Source organism: Homo sapiens, chromosome X, assembly GCF_000001405.40.
Source record: "Homo sapiens chromosome X, GRCh38.p14 Primary Assembly".
Lineage (NCBI taxonomy): Eukaryota > Metazoa > Chordata > Mammalia > Primates > Hominidae > Homo > Homo sapiens.
The window spans coordinates 139,777,230-139,803,754 of record NC_000023.11 but is presented as its reverse complement, the minus strand read 5'-3'; the positions used below and the strand labels follow the sequence as shown (position 1 = coordinate 139,803,754).

At 38.0% G+C, this 26,525-nt stretch overlaps 1 protein-coding gene across 21 annotated transcripts in view; it reads left to right on the top strand.

Moving 5' to 3' along the window:
* The window catches only part of ATP11C (ATPase phospholipid transporting 11C (ATP11C blood group)), a 210,556-nt gene that overhangs the window by 133,149 nt on the left and 50,882 nt on the right, over positions 1–26,525 (top strand). For 17 of the 21 annotated variants that reach the window (XM_047442018.1, XM_047442024.1, NM_001353810.2 and 14 more), the window contains 12 exons: positions 1,416–1,519; positions 3,645–3,695; positions 5,012–5,076; positions 5,401–5,482; positions 6,429–6,579; positions 7,285–7,482; positions 14,267–14,428; positions 15,412–15,563; positions 16,511–16,582; positions 18,456–18,529; positions 20,488–20,591; positions 21,027–21,208. In XM_047442018.1, the coding sequence (XP_047297974.1) occupies positions 1,416–1,519; positions 3,645–3,695; positions 5,012–5,076; positions 5,401–5,482; positions 6,429–6,579; positions 7,285–7,482; positions 14,267–14,428; positions 15,412–15,563; positions 16,511–16,582; positions 18,456–18,529; positions 20,488–20,591; positions 21,027–21,208 (1,397 nt within the window). The remainder of the gene's footprint in view (positions 1–1,415; positions 1,520–3,644; positions 3,696–5,011; positions 5,077–5,400; positions 5,483–6,428; positions 6,580–7,284; positions 7,483–14,266; positions 14,429–15,411; positions 15,564–16,510; positions 16,583–18,455; positions 18,530–20,487; positions 20,592–21,026; positions 21,209–26,525) is intronic. The other 4 variants (XM_047442028.1, XM_047442027.1, XM_047442026.1 and 1 more) reach the window with 1 other exon arrangement.

The following is a 26,525-nucleotide window of genomic DNA, read 5'->3' as shown; positions in this document are numbered from 1 at the left end:
TGCACTCCAGCCTAGGTGACAGGGTGAGTCTCCATCTCAAAAAAAAAAAAAAAAAAAAAAAAAAAAAAAGATAGGGTGTAGTTTGGAAAATGTTTGCTTTATAAGTAAGTTATAAAGCAACATTTTATGTACATATAACAAATTATAACTCATTTATAATTGCAAGTGACTTAAAGTAAATTTGGCCAAATGGGGGTAACTTATTTCCCTCATACACTTTCTGGCACAGTCGGTTTTCTTGGCCATGGTCCAGAGCTCCACAGGGCATGAAGATGTATCCTCTCTATGCTGCCTTTAAGGAGGGTTACTCATGTGGCTCACCTCTGGGTATGTCCTTGGAGGGCTCCTCTGTTTGTTTATTCCATCTGGAGTTGAGGACTACGACTCAGTATGTAAAAAAGAACCTTTACCTGTTGGATGACTAATTCTGTATTTCAAAAGCATGGTAATGACCTGCTTTTAACCTTTTCAAAAACAAAGTTATAATTTAGGGAATGTCAAGATATAAATCAAGAAATCTACATAAAGATTTCCTGATAGTGAAAAAGTTGTTTGGAGTAAGAAAACTTTCAGATAGTTTCTTTTTTCAGTTAAGTTGTTCTGATCAAATCAGCTAAAAGTACAGAGGTTTTCAAAATCAGGAGATAGTTTTAAATATAGTTCAGACATTGCCGTAATATTTCCCCCAAGATGACGACAACAGCTTTCCCTTCTGCCTAAGTGGTGCGCTCTTTGAGTCTGCTTTAACCCTTGTTTGATGATTTATAAGTGGGTTCATTGGCGCCTGCCTTGAGTTCTGGATGAATCAAGTGCATAATATACACTAGTAGAATATTCTAATTATCTGACTAATGCAAGACACGTCATCTCCCTGCCCCTTGTACAAAATGTATCCATATTGAACATTTTCAAGATCATTAATTAAGCTATTTGTGTAATGGAACTATTAATGATTTTTTTCTTGCTGTTGGCAAAATTTTAGCATTTTTGTGACCAAAAAGGTTATGTTCAATTCATATGTGTATATCTCCATTGCCATACACTATAGTGAGCAAAATAATAAGTCTCAGTTCTGTAAATAGGAAAAAAAATAAATGTATTAACTTTTTCACGTGGTTTTAGTTAATTATATGCATGTTGTGAATAGAATTCTCTCAGCTGTCCATGTCAAGAAGAGCTTTTAGGTTTTTAATTGTCTTTGAAACCCTCCTTGCGGCAGGTTATCTTTCTAATTATTTGTAATATATTTTCATAATAATACCATAAAACTTATTAGTGGGAAATGTTAATATTTGTTTATTCTGCCAAAGCCTCTTACTAAAACATAAACTAAATTTGTTTCTGAAATCAGTTGGGTGTATGATTATGAAAAGAAAGTTTTTTTGGTTTTCACTTTTTCTTCTGCTTTCAACTAGACACATTATGCAGTACGTGATACCATTGCACTGTGTACAGCAGAATCCATCGATACCCTCCGAGCAGCAATTGAATGTGAACAGCCTCAACCTGACCTCTACAAGTAAGAATCACCTGGTTTCATTTTACTTCTGTTTGTTGGCTCTGCTTCTCTTTGCTAATAGTATTGCAAAAGAAACACCCACCACTTACCAGCCTACTCTCATTTGTGTTTTTATGGGCGATTCCTTCCTTCTGGCAGAAAAATGAATCAAATCAGCCTTGTTCACTATCAACCCAGAATAAATCATTGTGGGCCCAGGTATCTTATGATTTTTCTTTTATTTTTATTACTTGTAAACATGGCCATATATCAAAATTTTAGATTATGTTACCCTGTAAGGCTGATCTATCAGACTGATGCAGTAACCAGTTAATTAAATAAAAAACAAATCCTTTTACATGCCATCTAACATTAAAGAGAGAAGGGGGATATCCTCTTCATGCAATTAGTAGGTTCTATCCTTTCTTAGAATGATCATGATGCACTAAAGATTGCAAATAGGCTCTTTCTTGTCCACAGTAAACAGTTAAGGGATGAGTACAATGGTGTAATTTCCTCTATTTTACTATACTTAGGCTCTCTGGAGTAGGTTTGCTGATTATTAGTCATTGTGGGTTGTCAAAAATTGGCGTTTGATTTCAAGACTGGTTAGTTGGGTTGATTAGAGCATAGTACTAATCAGGGTAGTGTAACAGGTTTTATCCCCACGTGGGCTAATTAATTTTATCCTATTCTACCGTTGCAGATGGCATCCATTACCCATCTTGTTAATGCATGCTGTTAGTCATAATGAGTGACCAAGTGGTTGGATGTGGTTTACACTAACACCTAGTAGTGGAAAAACAAAGTATTCATTCTACTTCAAGAACAATGACCTCCCTCCTTCTCATCACTTTTTCTTTCCTCTTTCCCTTCCTCTTCCGTATCCACCTTGATGATAGGAACTAGGGCCAAAAAGTGTAACAGTTATTCTCTACCTTCAAGGGACTCACTGTGAGCAAGAGATGAAGTAATAAAGCTAAGCTTATACAAGGTGATAATAGAGGTGAGTGTAAGGTCTATGGAATCACAGAAAAGGGAGTAACTTATTCTGCCTGAGCTAGAGAACAATATCTATACCCTTGCATATTTATAGGGAAATCCCCACATTTTTCAGTTGCTTTAAGTATGAAGGAGAATGATAGGACAGGGAAGGTTATTCCTTATTTCCTTAGACGATTGAATTCCTTGCTGTGTGACTTCGGAATACCTTGTACTTCTATCACTCTAGTGGTAAGCACTTGCGTCGTAATTGCCTATTTACTTTTATAGGGCAAGGAGCCATTTCTTTTTTGCTTATTAGTACATCTTCAGCACTTAGTATAGCACTGGCACAATTAATATATGATGAATGAATGAGCAAGCCTTCATATTTTGTGTATATGAGTAATATATATTTCTATTTTCTGGGGAAAATGCTGTTTACGATGCAGATTATAAAACACTGATGTTAACGAGGGATTAGGTATTTTTACCTTATTTTGCAGAAATACAGGTTACCATACACCTATTATATTAAGTGATTGGGTCAAGCTCAGTATTGAGATCAACTACAAGTCACAGGCTGGACATTTCCAAGATGGCATTCAAGTGTTCACTGTCTAAGACTAGTACTATGGTTTAAAGAGTGGTTTCAGGACCAGCAGCAGCAGCATTACTGGGGAACCTGAATCAGAAGCTCAGGGATGGGACCTAGAAATCTGTGGTTTAATTAGCGCTCCAGTGATTCTGATGCACACTCAAGTGTAAGAACTACTGAACTAGCGGTTTTGAAAATTGTATTTTAGCACCAGAAACCTTTCTTCACATGATCCAAGATAGAAGTTACGTTATTTATATAAACTTATAAAAGAGAGAGGTGTTGTGTGCATGCATGATGTTAAACAGAACTTGAAAATCAATTGAGAACCTTTGTTTCTGCTCCTATAATCCCATCATGTTATTTAAAAATTATATGAAAATGTTATACACCTTATCAATTCAACATAACTTTTTTTCCCCCAGAAATATAATAGGCTTTTGTAGTTCATTCACAGTTTTATCTATCTCTGTTTTATTATTTGTATTTTCATTCATTCTCATATTTCTGGTACATGGATTTCACCTGGATGTAGAAAACACATTTGCAATTTTGTTCTTTTTACAGATTTGTTGGGCGAATCAATATCTACAGTAATAGTCTTGAGGCTGTTGCCAGGTAAGTTTGCTGTTTCTTTAATTTGTCCTTTGGTTGGGGGGGGGGGTCTATTTTTCTGTTAAATCAACTAAAATAGCCAAATACCTTTCTATTATAGAAAGGAATATAGGCCGGGTGCGGTAGCTCACGCCTGTAATCCCAGCACTTTGGGAGGCTGAGGTGGGTGGATCACCTGAGGTCAGGAGTTTGAAGCCAGCCTGGCCAACGGGGTGAAACCCAATCTCTATTAAAAATACAAATTTAGCTGGGCGTGGTGGCACACATCTGTAATCCCAACTACTCAGGAGGCTGAGGCAGGAGAATCTCTTGAACCCGGGAGGCGAAGGTCGCAGTGAGCCAAGATTGAGCCATTGCACTGTACCCTGGGCAACAAGAGCAAGACTCCATCTCAAAAAAAAAAAAAAAAAAAAAAAAAGGAATATAAAGGTGAATAAGCAACTAACCTTGTGATTGGTAGAGTTGTGGTGATAGGGTCTCTGTGTTGTGGGGAGGGGGCTGTTAGAAGTAATGCTTATGGTTTCCAAAATAGCAGAGCTCCAGACATTTTGGATTATATTCCCAAACCTGTTCTAGCCATGTTATTTATTATCCTCGGTTGTGAAGTGGCTGACAACATTGGAATTATAACTGGAGAACAGTGGGAGAGTAATTGAGAAAGTAAGCAGTGGGTAAAATGCTGGAAGAACTACCTGGACTTACGTAAAATGAAAGGCTTCATTAAAACGAATTGTTTTATGTATACGAATTGTATGTATCAGCCTTCATACAATTTATCAAGCAGTTCATACAAAAAGGGATGCTTTCTTTCCTCTTCTATCATCATATTAATTACCGCAACTTTTCCACTTGGCCTTTACAGCCACACTCAAAAAGTTAAAGAAATACAGGGTCCCCAGTGATCCCCCAAAAGGAGGGTTTATTCTCTCCAAATATGTCAGTATATTTTTCCCACCTTGACGTTTGCATTCCCTGTCTTTTATTGATGGCTGTCTGCTTTTGTGTCTTGCGATCTGCTGCTCTGTTCTGTTCTCGTCTTGCTATCCATGATTCATAATCCTTTTATCCCCCCCCATGTATTTTTTTTGCCTATGTGTGTTGCTGGCTACTCCCGTACTGTGCTTCCATCTGTGCTGTACCCTCAAGTAACTTCAGAGTGAAGGACCTTTCAGCTTGTCCTGGGGAGTAAGCATATGGTATAAGTAGACAGATAACATTCTGAACCCCTTGGAGATAGGTGTGTGTCAGGGCAAAATCTGTCCCCAGAGTTGTTGATGCTATTGGCTTGTTTGGATAAGCTGTGTTCATTTTTTATTTAGGTCTTTGGGACCTGAAAATCTCTTGCTGAAAGGAGCTACGCTAAAAAATACCGAGAAGATATATGGTGAACAATTTTTAAGATACACCTATCAAAAAATATGCTTTGTAAAGGCTGTGAATAAATAGTGCATATTAAAAAGTAAACATGGCAGGTTTGCCATTTAATTTAAACCTACATTTAGGTGTTGGGAATTTATAACGTGGTAAACTAAGACGAAATATGACAAATACTATATATAATTAAAATTATCCTATAAATGATATACAACTGGTGAGTGGAAGAGGGCCTAGATTTCCCACTTTTATAGACTTAAAAATTCATAGAGCCAGCTGGGTGAGGAGTTGGTTGACAAGTTCTTAGTTTTTATTATATTCTGTAATTTCTTAGGAGTTGCTGTTTACACTGGAATGGAAACCAAAATGGCTTTGAACTACCAAGGGAAATCTCAGAAACGTTCTGCTGTTGAAAAGTTAGTATGCGCCACAATTTATTTAGTCATTATTGATTAAAATAGTTACTTTCTTGGTAATTCCAAGTAACAAGCATAACAAAAAACAACATCAATTATAATAGCAACTACAATTTTAAGCACTTGTTTATGTACCAGAAACTGTGCTCAATGATTTGTATGTCTGATTTGGTTTAGTCCTCTGAAGAACACTGTGAAGTAATTCATGTTAACCTCTCCACTTTACAGATGAGGAAATGGTCTTGGAGATGGTATGTGACTTACCTAAGCTCACATAGCTATTAAAGGGCAGAGTTTACTTGAACTGTAAATTCATTCCTTTTTGCTAGTGGAGTTAATGGTTTGGAGTCCTTTAGTTGCTATATGCAAGTTGGTTCTATAATATAGATAATAGTCTCCTGGCACCTATTGAAGCAGTGCCTCGTAGATCCTCAAGCCAGTTGCCACTGCTATAGACCTCACCCTGTATTTGGCATGGATAACCAGTATATCACTGGCACCCTTTCCATAGCTCCACTTTTAAACTGAAAGAACCTACACCGAGCTTGAGGATTTCACATTGCTACCGTGCCCTCTACCCCAAACATTTAGGATTCAGGGAAATGGAGACAAGATACTCTTTCTATAAGGGTTGAGTAAGTAATGGTGTGTGTATGTGTGCATGTGTGTACCTCTCCTGTCACTTTACAGGAACCTTAATAAGGTGTGTTCAGCTAGTCAGCCATTGCACTTGGGGGAGCATTGGTGGTCAATAAACAGTTCATGGCCAGCTTTTCCATTTTGCCACTTGAAAGTAATGCTGCAGCTATGATAACTGAGGTTAATACACAAAGGCTTGTGCTGTAGTTACGCGTCGTACACAGAAAAAGCTTTAGATGACTCAGTAGTTTAATTCATATCTGACTGATGTCTTTGGTTTTAAAATCCATGCTATCTTATTTTTCAGATCTATTAATGCTTTCCTGATTGTATATTTATTTATCTTACTGACCAAAGCTGCAGTATGCACTACTCTAAAGTATGTTTGGCAAAGTACCCCATACAATGATGAACCTTGGTATAACCAAAAGACTCAGAAAGAGCGAGAGACCTTGAAGGTAATTTGTTTTCTGCTGAAAATTGAAACTATTTTTTGTGACTGAGCCAACCTTCACTGAAATGCTGCTCAGGGAAACGGCACCTTTTGTTAGCTTCTGAATTTTCTCTCGATTACATGGTGGCTCTAAGCCAATAAATATTTAAGAAGATTTATTGTAAAAGAAAGAAAAAGAAAAACAAAGTTTTTTTTGTAAAAAAAACTTTTATTTTCTTTATTGTAAAAGAAAGAAAAAGAAAAGAAAAAAAGAGTTTTTTTTCTTTTACTTTAGGCATCTATGCTTGTTTTTAGCTCTTTATATAAGAATTTAAGGTGAAACAATTTGGCAAGATGCTTTGACATTTTAATGTAATAGGAGTATGTGAAATGTCACGATAAAAGCATAATGAATGCCTTACATATGAACTTTGATCTCACATTCCTATCTTAGGGTGGAGTGAGCAAAGAGAACTTAAAGAAGTGAAAAAGTACTGACAGAAGTAGTATATACTGAAGAATAATGATAAAATTGAGAGTGTTCTTAAATGTTCTCACATACTGTGATAATTTTGACTACAGTGATGTAGTGTTATTAGGAAGTTCCATCTTTATAGCAAGAGCAGTGTTTTCAGCATTGAAATAAAGATGAAATTAATTCTTCCTTTATATTATATTGGTCTGATGAAATTGTATGTCTAATTAGCATGAACTATCTCTTTTATTTTAGGTTTTAAAAATGTTCACCGACTTCCTATCATTTATGGTTCTATTCAACTTTATCATTCCTGTCTCCATGTACGTCACAGTAGAAATGCAGAAATTCTTGGGCTCCTTCTTCATCTCATGGGATAAGGACTTTTATGATGAAGAAATTAATGAAGGAGCCCTGGTTAACACATCAGACCTTAATGAAGAACTTGGTCAGGTTAGAGCATTGTTTTACTTAAAATAATTTGTCAACGTAGTGAAAATATCTTTTTGTGTAGTCTGGATTACCAATATATGTGACCATGTCACATTTGGAAAAGTGATTCAGAGAAAATTCTTTAATGCAGGCATGTAATGAAGGTAAGCAGTGTTTTCATAGTTACAGCATCAGTTCTTTTGCTGGCATTTTTGAGAAGGATACAATTTATGTATTAAATTTGAACGTTACTGAAATTCTCCTTGGAACTGGGTGATGTTACATTATTAGCTATTGCTTTGGAACAGGAAACAGTCTTCATCACCATCTATAACCATTTGTGGATAGAATATGGGGTAGCAAATATGGCTCTTTTATAAGTGTATTTTGTTCCATAAGCAAAATTGACCAGAGTTGTCCTATTGACATTTTCTTGGTACATTTCTGATCAGGTAGAATATAGACCTAACAAGCAGAGTTATTTATTCCAGTACAAGAATTTCAATGAAGGGAAAACGTGAGGGCATGTACTCCTCAAAATGCATTCTTCTTTATATACCAATGTAACCCAGACTGTGACCCCATTCTAACCCAGGTGCATTTATTTTCCAGTGCAACACAGTCTGGCTGTAATTCTTCAAGTGATGATTTCTTAGGTGCTTTTCTTAATAGTATCGAGAAAGTTTTCCCCTTTTTTTTATTTTACTCTGTGTCATGTAATGATCTTTGTGAGCTGAAGGAATTTTTTGGCTTGCATTTTATTCTCATGACATTTAGAATGTCAAGACTGTGGAAATGTCATTTTTGTGACTGGGAGTTTCCAAATTCAGTTAATGAAACTGTGTGGCTGGAGCAGAGCCTCACACTTGTTTAAATGGGGCTGATTTGCATTCACACCTCAAAACTCTTACTTCCTGGCTTTAGGCCTCTCCGCAGTCCATGCTTTCTGTTTCTACTCTTGATATAGTCTTTGCCTAAATCAAAGTACCCACATGACAACTGCAGTTGAAAGGTAGAAAGGACTCTCCAGATACCATTTTGTTTAGACTTGACTTCAGGACACCAGTATCTGAAACCATGGAGTCTACATCCTGTGTAGATACCAAGGCACTAAGAATAGGGCTTTTCCTTTGGATATTGTTCCCACAAGGTTATTTTGTTGACAATGTGGGCTGCCGTACCTGACCATTGTCTTTTAGGCCAGAAGTTTTCATCCAGGGTTAGAGCTATCTGAGTAGAACTGCTCTAATCTCAATAAAAGGCATCAATTTGCAGAGTGCATGAGAAAAAATTTTGAGTATACAAGCCACCTTAAGTGAACCTTTCCCTGACAGTTAATTTAGTGGTTCATTCTAGATGCTGAGCAAATCTGCCTGTTCTGGATTTAGTGCCTGGCTGTATGTGTTAACCTACTCAAGGTTGAGCATGACTAGCTTGGGGCTAGCCTCAACTACTATTACAAATAGAATAGCCATCATTCCGAATATGACACTTAATGTTCACTAAAAACAGATAAGATGCCCGGGTCAGGTTCCATTTGATGAGACTCTTACCTCTTTCAGATCTTCATTTCAGCAGATTCCATATTACCTATGGGAATGCAGTCTTCTTATCATCTAGACTATGTTAATACTGCAGAAAGTAAAGTAGAGCTTTGGGTAATGATCTAGTAAATTTGATGAGTGAAAAGAAGCTGCAGTCTTCCTTTTAGTCACCACTCCTTTCTCCCACCAAACCTTGCATTTCTAGCTGTGGTTGTCATTTAGTCAAATCAAGTTAATAGCCAGACCATCACTTCAATTAATACAGTGTATAAGCAACTTGCCATTGTTATCAGTTTGCATGTATAGAAACGACCTAAATGAAAGTGCAAAGAAGTCTTGAAATGGTTTCTTAGGCCATTTAGTATTCAGTAAACCAGTACACACAAAATTAAGTGTAACCTGTTTTTTCTTTGTTGAGTCAAATTTAAGATCTGTGTAACTTTTTATGTTACTAAAGGCAATGTCATTTAATTCCTGTTCATACCATTGCAAGCATTTGCTTAACCTCTTTTAATGTGACCCACACTGGGATTAAGAATAGAAAGATATGTTTAGAACAGTGCTTGACATGAGAAACAAAAGGAAGTAGACTGCTCAGCTCAGTTGGAAAATAATGCAGTCTTTTATGATTAGACATCAATCTTTTAGACAACCAAATGATTGTAATCCATATTGAAAAACCCGTGGGGCTACTCTTCTTTGTGTCGCCTTCCCATCTTGCGGCTCTGCCTAATGGTGGAACTTTATAGTGTGAGTATATATTCTGATTCCAATAATTTAAGCCAGTAGCTGTTATTCACCTTTTACTGTCTGGGATGTGTGTGTGTGCTAGGTATTATTATGAAGTAAACAAGAAACCCTCAAGTTTTTAAAAATATCACTGGGGAGACACACACATCAGACCTAACTATAGCAATGTGATCATAATCAATCAGAAAAGATGTGGGGCAGTGCAAAGAGTCTGGTGTTCTTTGATTTTGGTGAAGTCAACATCAGTGACAGTCACCATGTATATAGCACCTTTTAGGTTATAGATCATTATTATTGAGCTTTATTTTTTAATCTTTACATTCTTGTGCAGCAGGTATCGTTAAGGTTAATATTTGAAGTTCATAGAGATAAAGAGATTTTCCTAAGGTCACAAAGTTAGTAGGTGGTGGAGCCAAGATGGAGTCCAAGTGTTCCATTAAGTTGAACCATTGGTAATTTTTGATCTACAAAATAGATCATTTCACATGTTCAACATATACTTCAGAGCCTTTTCTACCCTACAGCAGTTGTCTCACTAAGAGATAGGAAAAGAAAATCTTTTTTCTTTTTTTAGAAATTATATTCAATGAAATACTAATTAACCCATAAAAGTTATTATGTAAATCTATATTCTTGACATGGAAATACATATGTATATGTGTGTGAGAAAAATAGATTACGTAGCAAACATAATGAGATTACATTTCTGTTCAAGTGGTAAATACACATTTTACCACTCAAAATATTAACATGATTGTTTCTGTATGATGGGATTAATATGTGTTTCAGGGAAAACTCCCAAAATGTGTTTTTACTGTGCTCTCACAGCAAACAACACAGAGACTTCTGTGTCCAAATGTGGGAGGGAGCAGTTTCTCTCACCGACAAACAGTGAACACCAACTGGGTGTCCTCTAGTTCAATTCTGTCTACCTGGAGATAACATCAGATCCCACAGGGTGAGGGCCCAGTCCCCAAGACTGCCCCATGACTCCTAGACACCAGTCACAAGTCTGGGCCTCCGGAACTTCTGATCGACCAGCTTTAAGTTGGGCTACCCACAATCCCCTCTTTGGGTTTGATTAACTTGCTAGAGCAGCAGACAGAAGTCAGGAAAACACTTAACTTACGTTCACCAGTTTCATATAAAGGATATTGCAAAGGACACAGATGAAGAGACATGTGGGACGATATATAGGGGAAAGGGTGTTTAGCTTCCATACCTTCCTTGGGCGCACCACCCTCCAGGAACCCCTACATGTTAGTTATCCCTAAGACCCTGTTTTTCTTTCATTATTCTCACATAGCCACTCAACACTTTTGACAAAAGGTATGTGAAGTTTTTTCCTGACACACCAAGCAAGCAGTTCTCCAGCAAACACCAGCTGGGTATCCTCCAGTTCACTTTTGATACTGCCTACCTGGAGATAGTGTATCATGTCAGATCTCACAGGTTGAGGGCTCAGTCCCATAAGACTGCCCCCCACTTCAGATGCCAGTTGCTAATTCAGGTTGTAACGTATGCTTCTGATTGACCAGCTATAAAATGGGGTCCAGTAGTTTACTAGACCCCCTCCTTGGATTTGATTAGTTTACTAGAGCAGGTCATAAAACTCAGGGAAACAGTCATGTTTACTGGTTCATTATAAAAGGATATGACAAAGGATACAGATGAAGAGATGGGTGAAGTATGGGGGAAGGGGCGTGGAGCTTCCATGGAGCTTCCATGACCTTTCTAGGCATCCTTCAAGAAATTTCATGTGTTCAGCTATCCAGAAGCTCTTTGAACCTAGTTTTTTGGGGAGTTTATGGAAGCTTCATTATGTGGGGATGATTGATTAAATCATTGGCCACTGGTGTTAAGCTTAACCTTCAGCCCCTCTTTCCTCCTTCCCCAGGTCAGGTGTGGGGCTGAAAATCCCAACCCTGTAATCATGCCTTGGTCTTTCCAGTGACCTGCACTCATCCTGAAGCTATCTAGGGGCCCCGAACCACTTGTCATCTCATTAGCATGCAAAAACACTGTTATCACTTTGGAGATACTAAGGCTTTAGGAGCTTTATGTCAGGAAACAGGAAGGAAGATCAAATATATATTTATCAAATATATTTTACAATATCACGCAAATGATGGCTTTGAGCTTACTGATACAGAGGAGTCTTTTTGGCAAGCTTGAAGAAGAAGAGAGGCTGCTTGAGAGTCAGAGTAAAGCAGCAGCCTCCCCCTTCATTCCTTTGTCTCTGTTAAATATGAGAATAGTTAAATTAATTACAGTCGATCTACTCCTCTTCTTTTTCTGAGTATAGATCATATATTAGGGCGGTGGTTCTGTAAATATGATCCTAGGACCAGCAGCATCAACACTACCTGAGAACTTAGAAGTGTAAATTATTTGGTCCTACCTCTGACCGACTGATTCAGAAACTCTGGTGATAGAGCAGTGATCTGAGTTTTAACAAGACCTCCAAGTACATGTGATGCATTCTACAGTTTGATAATTACTGCATTTGGGTATAATTTATAGGCATATACCTGTGAGATTCAACGTATCCAGATTCATACTGCCCAAACTGTTTGAAATAGGTGAATAAATTGTACTTTATATTTTAAAGCTACCATCTTTGACACTAACAAAAGAGATTCTAATGCTCATCCAAGTGCAGGAGATGAAATAATCCAGGACACCCTTCAGGGAAAAATGAAGGTTAATAATTTTGATCAGAAAAAAGCCCCAAAGAATTTCATTTAAACTGGAAGAATCTAAATGATACACAAGTAATACCACTTGGATTAATTTAAAGAGAGAGTTCAAACTTGGCTGGCTTAACAGAAAAAAAAAAAGATTGGAATGCTATATTTGTGCCAGTGCTGCTACCGTGAAAAGCTTTGAAAAATAATTAGAAAGCAACTACTGCTGTAGTTCATCTCTTTCTCCCTTACATAATAAAAACCTTAATCTTGTCCTTATGCTTGTTCCTATCAGCCCATAATTTTAACTATTTAAGCATAAATTGCCAAAACGAGGATAAAATTGTGGGTTTCCAAAAGCCAGATGTTAAAAATAGAAGAGATAAAAACCGAGATAAAATAGAAATGCTCAAAATGATTTATCTTAGTGGCAAATTTATTTCTTGGCTTATATTTTCCATTATTTATGAAAATATACTTGTGTTATACTTTATCTGCTTTTTTTCTAAATTTGGAAACTTGAGTATTTTCAAAATATGTATAGTAAAAAGAAAGAAATTTCAGTTATGGTTTTGATCACTACTGACCTATACTGTATCTTCCAATTAGGTAACTGTTAATGTTGTTATTAATTCTTATGTATATTATATGATGTGGTGCATTTTATTTTAATTCAGTATTTTTATAGAAAATTTTACTTTTAAAAGGGGAAAAAAACCTTCATCAGTTTCTGTTTTATTTTGTTACATCCCATTTAATTTATTGGGAAAAAATTTTTAATGGGTAATGTACGTACTAGCCCACAAAGTGTAAGAGTGTGTGTGTGTGTGTGTGTGTGTGTGTGTGTGAGTGAGAGAGAGAGAGAGAAATAAGTGGTCAGTATAGTCTTACTTCCCACTTGAAAAATTGACTTATGTAACTTCTTTACATCAAACAGGTTAACTGGCTGGGCATGGTGGCTCATGCCTATAATCCCAACACTTTGGGAGGCCAAGGCTTGAGCCCAGGAGTATGGGACCAGCCTGGGCAACATAGTGAGATGCTGTCTCTACAAAAATTACAGAATAATTAGCCTGGTGTGGTGGTGCGTGCCTGTGGTCCCAGCTACTTGGGAGGCTGAGGTGGGAGGATTGCTTGAGCCAAGAAGTTTGAGGTTATAGTGAGCTATAATGGCTACTGCATTCCAGCCTGAGTGACAGAGTGAGACCCTATCTTAAAAAAGGTTAACTTAAATGAGAAGCGTTCTTAGTTTGATAAAATAGTCACTTTTTTTTTTTTTTCCTGAGACAGAGTCTCACTCTATCACCCAGGTTGGAGTATAGTGATGTGATCTCAGCTCACTGCAACCTTTGTCTCCTGGATTCAAGCAATTCTTGTGCCTCAGCCTCCCAAGTAGCTGGGATTTCAGGTGTGTGCCACCACACCCAGCTAATTTTTGTATTTCTAGTAGAGACGGGGTTTCACCATGTTGGCCAGGCTGGTCTTGAACTCCTGAGCTCAAGCAATCCTCCTGCCTCAGCCTCCCAAAGTGCTGGGACTACAGGCATAAGCCACCGTGCCTGGCCAATAGTCACATTTTTTTCTATTCATCTTTTACATTTGAGTAGATCTACCTTAGACATGTGATAGCATTTTGGTGTCTTTAAAAATACTCATTTATTCCTCATTTCTTTGGTAATATTGTCTCTGTAATTCCCTGACATTTGACAAGAAGTCTTAGAAGGGGTGATTTCCTATGGATATGAAAATAGCTTTGCGTTACAGCAAACTAAAAATTAGTCACACTGAAGAAACTAACAATATATGTTTGTGTCCTTGTTTTAGGTGGATTATGTATTTACAGATAAGACTGGAACACTCACTGAAAACAGCATGGAATTCATTGAATGCTGCATAGATGGCCACAAATATAAAGGTGTAACTCAAGAGGTTGATGGATTATCTCAAACTGATGGAACTTTAACATATTTTGACAAAGTAGATAAGGTGCATTTGCATTATTGTTTTATATAAGAAACCAATCTGTGTATGCATGTTAACATTCCATAGTAGAAAATAATTTTTAGGTGGACACATGACATAGACTTTTGTGTTTTTGTTTTTTTTTTTTGAGATGGAGTCTCACTCTGTTGCCCAGGCTGGAGTACGGTGGCATGATCTCAGCTCACTGCAACCTCCGCTTCCCAGGTTCAAGCGATTCTCCTGCCTCAGCCTCCCGAGTAGCTGGGATTACAGGCGCCTGCCACCATGCCTGGCTAATTTTTTTGTATTTTTAGTAGAAACGGAGTTTCACCATGTTGGTCAGGCTGGTCTCAAACTCCTGACCTCAGGTAATCCACCACCCTCCGTCCCCCAAAGTGCTGGGATTACAGGCATGAGCCACTGTGCCCAGTGACTTTAGAATAACTATTGTTGGATTCACCTTTCTTGTTTTACTGACACTTCTGAAATTTGTAAATGAGTAGAATTTACAAGTAAAGAGAATTGTGGGAAATGACATTTGGGTAAAAGCTTGCTTGTCTGTATGATCATAATTTTTTGTGCTTTGTCTTTTAAAATGTAAGCTCCTCCAAGAATGATGTCTGTTCAAATGATTAAAGTCTCAGGAGTGTCTAGGCATTAAATTAACCAGAGTCTCCCTACACTTGAGCTATTGCTAGATTGTGAATTAGATACTGAATGAAGTTTTTTAGGCCATGAAGAAGTCACTGCTTTGGCTTAGGTGGTGCCACAATAACCTTAATGAGTTAACACAGCCTATAGGGTATGCTAGCTGAGAACCAGGAACTCTTATTAGGTACTAGGAGAATATATAGCAGATTTGAGTGTTAAGAATTTATACGTATCTGCTACTAAGTTTGTTAGAAGTTACAACATTCTCTCACATTAATATATTTTCTCCGTTCACTGCCTAGTTACCGGGTGATCAAATTAAAAATAATAATCATTATTTTGTTGCTGTTCCACAGAATCGAGAAGAGCTGTTTCTACGTGCCTTGTGTTTATGTCATACTGTAGAAATCAAAACAAACGATGCTGTTGATGGAGCTACAGAATCAGCTGAATTAACCTATATCTCCTCTTCACCAGATGAAATAGCTTTGGTGAAAGGAGCTAAAAGGTAAAGTATACTTTCTTATACTTCTCCTAAGAAAGTGAAATCACAGGAGGACAGAAGTTATTTGTTTTTTTCCGTTTGCTTCAGTGACCTTAGCACATACATCTCCTATTATTTAATAAAAAACACAACTGCTTTAGCCAAAAATTTGTGGAAAATTCCCACACCTAACCAGTTAAGACTAAAAAGAAAATAGTTACAGGTAGGTATTACTTGCCTTACTATTTATGCATGCCAGCCAGAAGTCTGAATGTTCATACTATGTTTTGCAAATAACATAACAGTGGCCACTTTTTGTACAACACATGTTATTTCTGAGGTGCTCCCAGCAATTTTGACATCATTTGAGAACCGAAAGTCCAGTTTTACCCATGAGGTTCAAGATAATTAAGTGGCTCAAAGGTCACCCAGTGTGTTAGCCGTAGAATCAGAAACCCAAATTGTCTCTCCCTTGGTTACAATAATTGTGGCTGGGCATTGACTTTCTCTGTTATCAACTTATCCAGGAAAAGAAAGTACAGTTATATGTTGAGATCATATGAAAGAGAAGAAAAGCATAAACAAGCATGAGTTACCCCATTGAAAGTAATCATTCTAGACCAGGTGCGGTGGCTCACGCCTGTAATCCCAGCACTTTGGGAGGCCAAGGCGGGTGGATCACCTGAGGTCAGGAGTTCAAGACCAGCCTGGCCAACATGGTGAAACTCTGTCTCTACTAAAAATACAAAAATCAGCCGGGTGTGGTGACACACACCTGTAATCTCAGCTACTCAGGAGGTTGAGGCAGGAGAATCGCTTGAAACTGGGAGGTGAAGGTTGCAGTGAGCCGAGATCGCGCCACTGCACTCCAGCCTGGGCAACAGAGCGAGACTCTGTCTCAAAAAAAATAATAATAAAAAAATTAATCATTCTTTAGAGATACACAAGGTCTTTTTTATTGTTTTTGATAGGTACGGGTTCACATTTTTAGGAAATCGAAATGGATATATGAGAGTAGAGAACCAAAGAAAAGAAATAGAAGAGTAAGTAGCTCTGTGTTTGATGTTTGTCATTTCTTAACCCCATAGTCAAATTTAAGTGGATTCAGGCAGGGCAGCAAAGGAAATGATGCCACTAAAAATACAGGACCCTGCTCTCCCAGTTCAGAGTTTTATGTAAATATAGTTGGGGTAGAAGCCATGTTACATAGAATTGCAGAAACTGGAGTTTGAGGTGGAAATTCCAATCTGGTTCACATCTGGGTCCAGTAGCCAGAATGAGAGTTTGCCTGGAATGTTTCTCAAATTTAGATGCCATTTCAGGTCTCTAACACATGCTACAGGAAAAATCAGTGAATATATGTGAAACCTTCTGCTATCTAGTGTCCAAGCAATCACTCTGGGATTGCAAGCCCAGGCAATAAAGGCAGCTTTGCTGTAAACCAGAAGCCTTGTTTGGTTCGGAATGTTCAGGTGTGAGCCTCGGGGCAAGTACTCTGATGCTCCAGTGTCTTCACATTTCCTCTTTTGCCACAAAGACCCTAATGAACAAAGCCACCTTATCTTAATGGTGGATTTTAATTAGGCTCTGTGATTAATTTGAATTTCCTCATCTGAACTTGAAATATAATTATGTTATCTGACTTTCATTCTGGCCCCTAGGATCTCCTGAGACCCATCTCAGAAACCTGTAATATGTTTACAGGTACTTGGGTAATGCACCCTTTTGGAGAGAGATTCATAGAAGCCCAGAGGAAGGTTCTTGGTCTGACTGACAGGGACCCAGGGTCATTGTCAGAGTTTAGATTCTAGCCCATCTGCAACAGTGCCCACATCTGGCCAACAGCAAACCAGATGCCATGTTAGATGTCTTATACATATACTCCCGCAAGACTAATGACCCCCTCACTCCCACCAAAACAAGCTATGTAGTAAATACTTTTTTTAAAAAATACTAGTTGTTTATTTTCAAGGAAATATTTCCTCTCACTTTTTCTAATAACCAACTCTTATTTTAACTCTTCTGTGTCTCTCCATTGATTAGTTCAGCCATCCACACACACATTTGACCAGTCTCATCATGTCATTCCACTGTTTAAACCCTTTTATTGGCTTTCTTTTGCTCTTACAATACAATCCCAAATTCCAGAAATGGCTCACAAAGATGTGTTTCCAGCCCCTGCTTACCTTTCTTGCTTTATCTCTTACTATTCCCCTATTGATGAGTTTTTTGGGCATTGGTGAACTACTTAAAGTCTTCCATGGGCCATGTGCTCTCATGCTGCCGTGCTCATTCCCTCTACTCAGAATGCCATGGCCCCCTTTCTTCATCATATTACCCTTGCAGAACCCAGCTCAGGCATGTCCTCTTCCAGGAAACCTCCTTTCAGATGACTTCCTTCTGTGTTCTTATATCTTCCCTGTAAGTGCCTTTATTACAGTATTTGAGAAACTAGAAGGGTAGTTATCTCATTATGCTCTGTCTCCCTTATCATATGGTGACCCGCATAAGGGAAGGGACTCAGGCAGATTCACCTCTATTCCCCAGCACCTAGCACTGTGCCTGGCACTCCATACATAAATGCTGCTAAAATAATTGGCAGAGTGGGACTGTTTCTAGACCCCTCCAAATATGGCTTGGTGGGACAGCTCTTTATCTTCCATTTTTATGTGGTCATTCTCCTTACCATTTTAAGTAATATACTGAGGGGCTATAAATACCCCTTAACTAACACTGGTGTCCTCTGACAGCATGTTCTATGTTCAGAGAAATTCTGAGACAAAGGAAAGTACCAGTTGTGCACACAACCAGTGCTATCTGTTGATTTAAGATGTTTAAATATCTTAACATATTTCTGTTGTGCTTTATTTTTCTCAGTATATTCTAGGTTTTTTACTTTGCTCATTTCTCTTAAAGATATGAACTTCTTCACACCTTAAACTTTGATGCTGTCCGGCGACGTATGAGTGTAATTGTGAAGACTCAAGAAGGTACATGTCTGAAAAGCTTGAATTTTTCTCTTTGTTGATTTGTAGGCTTATTGGTTGATTCACTCTTTCAGGAAAGAGAATCATTTCATGTAGTAGTGTAGGATTAGTGAAAGTCATGCAAAGCAGTAGCTTTTGCATATGCTTTCATGTATTTTTTTAAGCACAGATGTTCTGTTTACCAAATTGTTAGTGACAGAACCCTTGTTATGACAGGGTGTGCCTTTTCTTGGTAGCAGAACCATATCCCTCTGCCTTGGGTGTTCGAACAGGAACTGAAAGGATGACTTTTATATGGTTCAGGGTACTGACCAGTCTACCAGTAATGTTTACATGCAGCCACCCAGCATAGTTGGATGGTTTGGGATTACTAGCAGCAGAATCCTTGAGTATAGGGAGTTGCTTGTTATCCCTCACTGACCTTCCTGGTTCCCCTACTGCTTGACACTCCCTGGAAACAGGTGAGGTAGAGAGGACTAAGGGCCTGGTTTCTGGGAAATGGCATTGCAGTTTCACTCCAGAGCTCAGGTTCTTTGTTGAGCAGAGTAAAGCTTGCCCTTTGCAGGGGAACTGGTACTGTAATCCTGGGCTCCCTCATGTCTTTGGAGGCACCATGGTGGTTTGCCTTCTGCTCAGATTCTGCAAGACCCATGGGCGAGCAATCCTGCTTTATTCGAAGGCTCTCAGATACGTGTGTGTGTGGTGTGCCGAGGTGGTTTGTTTTCTAAAAATTTTTGATTTATTTCCCAGTAATTTACGTTTTACTATTAAATTTTCTAAATTCCTTAATGTCAGAATGGGAGGATACAGACAGATCCTTGGGGGAACATATCCCACTTAATTCATACTTTGTGGTGTGATTGCAAAGTCATGAAATTGATTTTAATAAGTGACCATGGAGTTTGTTTTGTGAATTTTAAAATACACTTTGGATGTGTAAGAATAAATGAAAAAAAAAACACAACATTTCAAATACTTGCTATTCTTATGTGTGCATGTCCACATGTTCTACAGCAAATGGTGAAATGTCTGTGGAACTGGTCTACAAAGGTCATTGACCTCAGAGCTACACTTTTTAATTTGTTGACCTCGGTTGTTTCCCTTATAAGGATAAAGTGTCTGTCTTAGTGCACAACTGTGAATATTTCCTGGGTGTGTGAAGTGATCTAAAGCTGCAATTATACCAGCATTCTACAAAGCTATTCTCATCAGTAAAAACTATCAAGCCATTGTTTTAGAAGCTAGTTAATATAGTTTATTCAAAATTATTTCAGCTTGTTTGAGCTTGAGCTTTCTTCTTGACATCTGTAGATGCCATATGTGTGCTCTAGGCCATGGCTTCACTGCATTTTTTTTTTTTTAAGACACGGTATTACTCTGTCATCTAGGCTGGAGTGGCAAGATTATAGCTCACTGCAGCCTTGACATCCTGGGCTCAAGCAATCCTTCCACCTCAGCATCCAGCGTAGTTGGGTCTATAGGTGTGTACCACCATGCCTGGCTAATTTTTTAATTTTTAGTAGAGTCAGGGTCTCCCTGTGTTGCCCAGGCTGGTCTTGAACTCCTGAGCTTAAGTGATCCTCCCACTTCAGCCTCCCACAATGCTGGGATTACAGGCATGAGCCACTGCACCTGGCATACATTTTCAGAAGAAATTCAGATGCAGCTCCTTGACACAAGCCCAGCCCTCCATGAATTGGTGGGAGGAAGTATATTTTAACAGAGGTGCCTATTGTAAACTCTGGCTTATTAATTGTGTTCATAATGACCTTGAAGAGGTGGTACATGCCTTTCTGACAGACTGAAGGCCAAGATTTCTCATTCCATTTAGGTGAGTATTGCAAGGTGTGCTCAGAATATACAACACTTGGGTGAGAGAGACCGCTTTAAAAGTTACTCTTACTAAAACCACAATACCAGCCTTAAAATTCTAAGTCAAGTACTATGGTTCTTTATTTTAGGAGACATACTTCTCTTTTGTAAAGGAGCAGACTCGGCAGTTTTTCCCAGAGTGCAAAATCATGAAATTGAGTTAACTAAAGTCCATGTGGAACGTAATGCAATGGTGAGCCTATACTCCTTCCCCCACCAATAAGTAAGCAGAGAAATGTTGAAAATGACTATGTTTATTGGATTTCTGTTTAAATGACAGTTTAAATACATTTTAGCTTATTTTTGTGGTCTATGTTTTGTATTTGGGGATTTGATAATATTACTTTTTTTTATCTTAATATAAAACATTTTCCTGGAGCAAGTTTCAGGTCAGAATTTGCAGCCTTAAAAGACTTTTCAACAACCTTTGTTAAAAGAACTGTTACTTCCTTTTTCTGAACCTAATTGAATGTTACCTTTTCAGTTGTAATTTCTTCATTTTTTCAGACTAAATATGTGTCAGAATTTCTCTTGTCCATATGGCTAAAGCAAGAGTATTTACAGAGTGTGTTTTTTTTTTTTTCCAACTATTATTAGAATAACTACAGATCTCCTACTTTACTCCTAGGATGGGTATCGGACACTCTGTGTAGCCTTCAAAGAAATTGCTCCAGATGATTATGAAAGAATTAACAGACAGCTCATAGAGGCAAAAATGGCCTTACAAGACAGAGAAGAAAAAATGGAAAAAGTTTTCGATGATATTGAGACAAACATGAATTTAATTGGAGCCACTGCAGTTGAAGACAAGTAACTAGAAAATGATACTCTTATTATTTTAATGACCAGTGTTTTGGGTGTGATCTGCCCCAGATTAGTAATTTAATCTCGAAGTTTGAAATCTTTAGTTTTATTGTTTAAGTGGACTTAAAGATTTATTTATTATAGCAAGTATGAAAAATTACACCAGATTTTGAGCTGTTAGTAGGAATGATTTTTTTTTAATTTTTTAATTAATTTTTTTTTTTTTGAGACAGAGTCTCGCTCTGTCGCCCAGGCTGGAGTGCAGTGGCGCGGTCTTGGCTCACTGCCAGCTCCACCTCCCAGGTTCACGCCGTTCTCCTGCCCCAGCCTCCAGGGTAGCTGGGACTACAGGTGCCCACCACCACGCCCGGCTAATTTTTTTGTATTTTTAGTAGAGATGGGGTTTCACTGTGTTAGCCAGGATGGTTTCGATCTCCTGACCTCGTGATCTGTCCGCCTCAGCCTCCCAAAGTGCTAGGATTACAGGCGTGAGCCACCACACCCAGCCAGTAGGAATGATTTTTAAGGTAAATTCATGTAACCTAGAAGAATGAATCAGTTTTCACTCAGGTCTTTTGAATATTTACTAAGCTATCCATATATTTATGCACATATTATCAAATAGTCTTGACATGTTTAGGGAAGGGTACTACAGCCATTGTTTGAGCTGGTGCCTAGACAAAGGGGTAAGATTTTCAGAGATAGGTGAGCTGAAAGGAAATTTAAGGTAGAGTGAACAACATGAGAGCTTAATCTAACCTGGTTCAACAGACCAGAGTATGTTTTTGCATGCTTTATTTTATTTTATTTTTATTTTTATTTATTTATTTATTTTTGAGACAGAGTCTTGCTCTGTCGCCCAGGCTGGAGTGCAGTGGCACAATCTCGGCTCACTGCAACCTCTGCCTTCTGGGTTCAAGTGATTCTCACACCTCAGCCACCGGGGTAGCTAGCTGGAATTACAGGCATATGCCACCACACCCAGCTAATTTGCATATTTTTAGTAGAGGCGGGGTTTCGCCATGTTGGCCAGGCTGGTCTTGAACTGCTGGCCTCAAATAAGCTTCTGTCTTGACCTCCGAAAGTGTTGGGATTACAGGCATGAGCCGCCGTGCCTGGCCTGCATACTTTAAAATAATATGCTTTTAACTTACAGGCTGACCTTTTTCAGACTTGATTGCAGGACACTGCCATTGATCTGCTTGAAATAATAAGTTTTAAATTCTTAATATTTTTAGAATTTTCTAAATATTATATATGAAAATTATGAGAATTAAAAAGTTACAAACATATGTTTAGTCACGTTAAAAGGTATTGAAACTCTAATGAAATTCCTTTAGTCTAATTTCATTGTTATTCTGTGGCCAAAAGAAACCCAGAGGAAAGTATCGTTTTTCTCTTGTCGTCTTTAAGAATTATAATTAAATTCACATTCAGGATGATTGGCGTTCCTCTTTTTTTGGAGGGTGGGTCGGGGTTATACATTCAGGTAGTACATGTGCAGGTTCGTTATGTGGTTATATTGTGTAATGCTGGGGTTTGGGCTTCCATTGATCCCATCACCTAAGATATTAACATAATACTCAATGGGTGGTTTTTCAACCCTCACTCCCCTCCCGTCTTCCCCCTTTTGGAGTCCCCATTGTCTGTTATTTCCATTTTTATGTCCATGTGTACTTATTTATTAGCTCCCACTTATAAGTAAGAACATGTGGTATTTGATTTTCTGCCTCTGAGTTATTTCACTTAGGATAGTGGCCTCCAGCTGCATCCATGTTACTGCAAAGGACACGATTTTACTTTTCTTATGGCTGCGTAGTATTCCAGCAATCTTGCCTGATTGCTCTGGCTAGGACTTCCAGTACTCTGTTAAATAGGAGTGGTAAGAGTGGATATCCCTGTCTTGTTCCAGTTTTTAGGGGAAATGCATTCAACTTTTGCACATTGAGTATGGTGTTGGCTGTGGGTTTGCATGTAGGGTTCTTATTATTTTGAGGTATGTTTCTTTGATGCCTAGTTTGTTCTCAGGGTTTTTTTTTTTTATCATCAAGGTATGTCAAATTTTATTGAATATTTTTTCTGCATCTATTGGGATGATCATATAATTTTTGTTTTAATTTTACGTACGTGGTGAATTACATTTATTGATTTGCATATGTTAAGCCGTCCTTGCATCCCAGGAATAAAACCCGTTTGATCATGATGAGTTATCTTTCTGATGTGCTGCTGGTTTCAGTTTGCTAGTATTTTGTTGAGGATTTTTACATCTATGTTCATCATGAATAATGGCCTATAGTTTTCTTTTTTTATTGTGTCCTTGCCAAATTTTTATTTTAGGATGATACTAGTTTTGTAGAATGAGTTATGGAGGAATCTCACCTCACTGATTTTTCTTGGAGTAGTTTTAATAAGATTGGTACCAACTCTTCTTTATATACATCTGATAGAATTCTGCTGTTAATCTCTCTGGTCCTGGGTTTTTTTGATTAGTAGATTCGTTATTACTGATTCAGTTTCATAGCTTGTTTAGGGTTTCTTTTTCCTTCTGGTTCAATGTTGGGAGGTTGTATGTTTCCAGGAATTTATCCATTTTGTTTGTGTTTTCCAGTTTGTGCTCGTAGATATGTTCATAATAGTCTCTGAGGATCTTTTGTATTTCTGTGGTATCAGTTGTGATGTCACCTTTGTCATTTCTGATTGTGCTTATTTTAATCCTCTCTTTTTCTTTGTTAATTTAGCTACTGGTCTGTTTGTTTTTCATTTTTGTTTCATTGATCCTTTGTATGATTTTTTTGGTCTCAATTTACTTTAGTTCTGCTACAATCTTTGTTACTCCTCTGTTAGCTTTGGGTCTGGTTTGTTTTTGTTTTTCTAGTTCCTTTAGGTGTGACATTAGGTTGTTCATTTGAGATTTTTCTGCCTTTTTGATGTAGGCAATTAGTGCTATAAACTTTCCTCTTAACACTGCTTTTTGACATATCCCATAATTTTTGGTATATTGTGTCTCTATTTTCTTTGGTTTCAAAATTGTTTTTTGGTTTCTGCCTTAATTTCATTGTTTACTCAAAAGTTATTCAGGAGCAAGTTGTTCAGTTTATATGTACTGATGTGGTCTTGAGAGTTCCCCTTGGTATTGATTTCTAATTTTATTTCACTCTGTTCTGAGAAGATGCTTCTGTATGATTTTGAGTTTTGAATTTCAGGAGACTTGCTTTATGACCAAGCATGTGATCAATTTTAGAGAATGTTCATGCACAGATGAGAAAAATGTATGTTCCGCAGTTGTTGAGTAGAGTGTTTTGTAAATGTCTATTAGGTCCATTTGGTCAAGAGTCCAATTTAAGTCCAGAGTTTCTTTGTTAGTTTTCTGCCTCGATAATCTGTCTTGTGCTATCATTGGGGTCTTAAAATCCCCCAATATTGTATGGCTCTCTGTCTCTTTCCTTAGGTCTAGGGATGATTGTTTTATCAATCTGGGCACTCTGATGTTGGGTCTGTATATATTTAGGCTAGTTAAATCTTGTTGAATTGAATCCCTTTTCATTATGTAATTCCCGCTTTGTCTTTTTATTTACTGTTGTTGGTTTAAAGCCTGTTTTATCTGATATAGGAAGATCAAACCCTGCTCCTTTTTGTCTTCTATTTGCATGATAGATCTTTCTCCATCCCTTTAGATTTAGCTTGTGGTCATCATTACGCCTGAGATGGGTCTGTTGAAGTTTTTGAGACAGAGTCTCACTCTGTTGCCCAGGCTAGAGTGCAGCGGCGCAATCCTGGCTCACTGCAACTTCGCCTCCTGGGTTCAAACCATTCTCCTGCCTCAGCCTCCTGAGTAGCTGGGACTACGGGTTGCCTGCCACCACACTCAGCTAATTTTTGTAGTTTTAGTAGAGACGGGGTTTCACCATGTTGGCCAGGCTGGTCTCGAACTCATGACGTCAGGTGATCCTCCTGCCTCAGCTTCCTTAAGTGCTAGGATTACAGGTGTGAGCCACCACGCCCTGTCTAACAGATGGTATTTTTGTATTCATTGCGGCAATCTATGTCTTTTAAGTGGAGCATTTAGGCCATTTACATTCAAGGTTAATATTGATATGTGAGGTTTTGTTCCTGCCTTAGTGTTGTTAGCTAGTTGTTTTGGTAGTCTCAAGTATATAATTGCTTTATAGGATCTGTTAACTTTCTACTAACATATGCTTTTATAGTAGCAAATATCATCCGTTTGTTTCTGTGTTTAGAGCTCCTTTAAGCATTTCTTATAGGATAGGTTTGGTGGTGACAGATTCCCATAGCATTTGCTTGTCTGGGAAAAACTTTATTTTTCCTTAATTTAAGAAGCTTAGTTTAGCAGGATATAGAATTATTGGCTGCAGTTGTTTTTCTTTAGGAAGTCTAAAGGCCAGGTATGGTGGCTTATACCTGTAATCCAGTGCTTTGAAAGGTTGAGGTGGGAGGAACACTTGAGCCTGGGAGCTCACAGCCAGCCTGGGCAGCATAGCGAGACTCCATCTCTACAGAAATTTTTTTTAGATAAGTAAGCATGGTGACACGTGCTTGTAGTCTCAGCTGCTTGGGAGGCTGAGGTGGGAGGATTGCTTGAGCCCAGAAGTTACAGTGAGCCATGACTGCACCACTGCTACACTTTAGGTGACAGATTGAGATTTTTCTCTCTTAAAAAAAAAAAGGCCAAACTACATCCCCAATCTTCTGGCTTCTAAGATTTCTGCTGAGAAATTCACTATTAGTCTGATGGGATTTCATTTATAGGTAATTTGTCCTTTTTATCTAGCTGCCTTTAAGATTTTTTTTTTCTTGTTAACCTTGGGTAGTCTGATGACTATATGCCTTGGTGATGGTCATCTTGTGTAGCATATCACAGTTGTTCTCTGAATTTCTTGTATCTGGATGTTGACCTCTAGCAAGGTTCAAGAAATTTTCCTGAATTATTCCCCAAATATATTTTACATGTTGCCTTTTTTTCTTCTTTTCTCTCAGAAATGCCAAGAAGTTACAGATTTTGTTGCTTTACATAATCCCATATTTCTCAAAGACTTTGCTCATGTTGAAATTTTTTTTTTTTTATCTGACTGGATTAATTTGAAAGACTGTTCTTCAAGCTCTGCAATTCTTTCTTCTGCTTGGTCTAGTCTATTGTTACAGCTTCCAGCTGTATTTTGAAATTGCTGTAGTGAATTTTTCAATTCCAGGTGTTCTAATTGGTTTGTTTTATTATAGCTATCCTTATCTTTCATATCCTGAATCATTTTTCTGGTTTCTTTGTGTTGAGTTTCAACTTTCTCTTGGATCTCGTTGAGTTGCCTTG